Source organism: Homo sapiens, chromosome 2 (genome assembly GCF_000001405.40).
Source record: "Homo sapiens chromosome 2, GRCh38.p14 Primary Assembly".
Lineage (NCBI taxonomy): Eukaryota > Metazoa > Chordata > Mammalia > Primates > Hominidae > Homo > Homo sapiens.
This window is the reverse complement of record NC_000002.12, coordinates 181686350-181687104: the sequence shown is the minus strand read 5'-3', so window position 1 is coordinate 181687104 and position 755 is coordinate 181686350.

Genomic DNA, 755 nt, shown 5'->3' with positions numbered 1-755 from the left:
AAATTATCTGTTGTTACATCATGGTCTGCAAAATGTGTCTAAAGCTTAGACACATTTGTGTCACGTATGTATGTATGTGTTTAACTATTTGTTTATTATTAGAGCCTAACCTCATAATCAAATTGTTCTGTTTGAGCCCCTAAAGTGGTTTGTCACTGAGTGAAAGTAATTTCCCATGGCAGGTGCTCCCAGCAGGTGGCTGCTCACAGTACCTACATCCGAAAGGTAGATTTAGTCAGAGATTTTATTTTAATAAGAAACCCGTATTGCAGCCGAGCCACCACTGGGTGATGTGCCAAAATTCATGTCTGCAGCATGATTTATTATGTGAAAATACCACAGAACTAATCAGTGGAGTTACTAATTAATACAAATCTGCATTTTTTGCATAAGCAATTAGTGCAAGGAGAGAGCAGTGAAAGAGGAAGTTTGACTCCTTTAATCTCAGTGCCTACTCAAGCGGAAAGACCCACCAAGGCCAAACTCCGAGATCTACATTTGGAATTTTCCCCCTTTGATTAGTTAAAGACATAAAAGGTCAAATTATCAATATTTAATTTGAGTGAAATGCATTTGTTATAAAGGAAAGAAGACATTTTATTTAAAGAAGGTGAGACTCCAGGGATGAATTCTTTAATCAAAAATGATTATATTTCTCATTACAGTGAAGTGTGAATAATACTTGATAAGGATTCTGTTTACTAATAATAATGATGTTTTGAAAATTACATCAATAAGTGTGTGGTGGGGGAGGG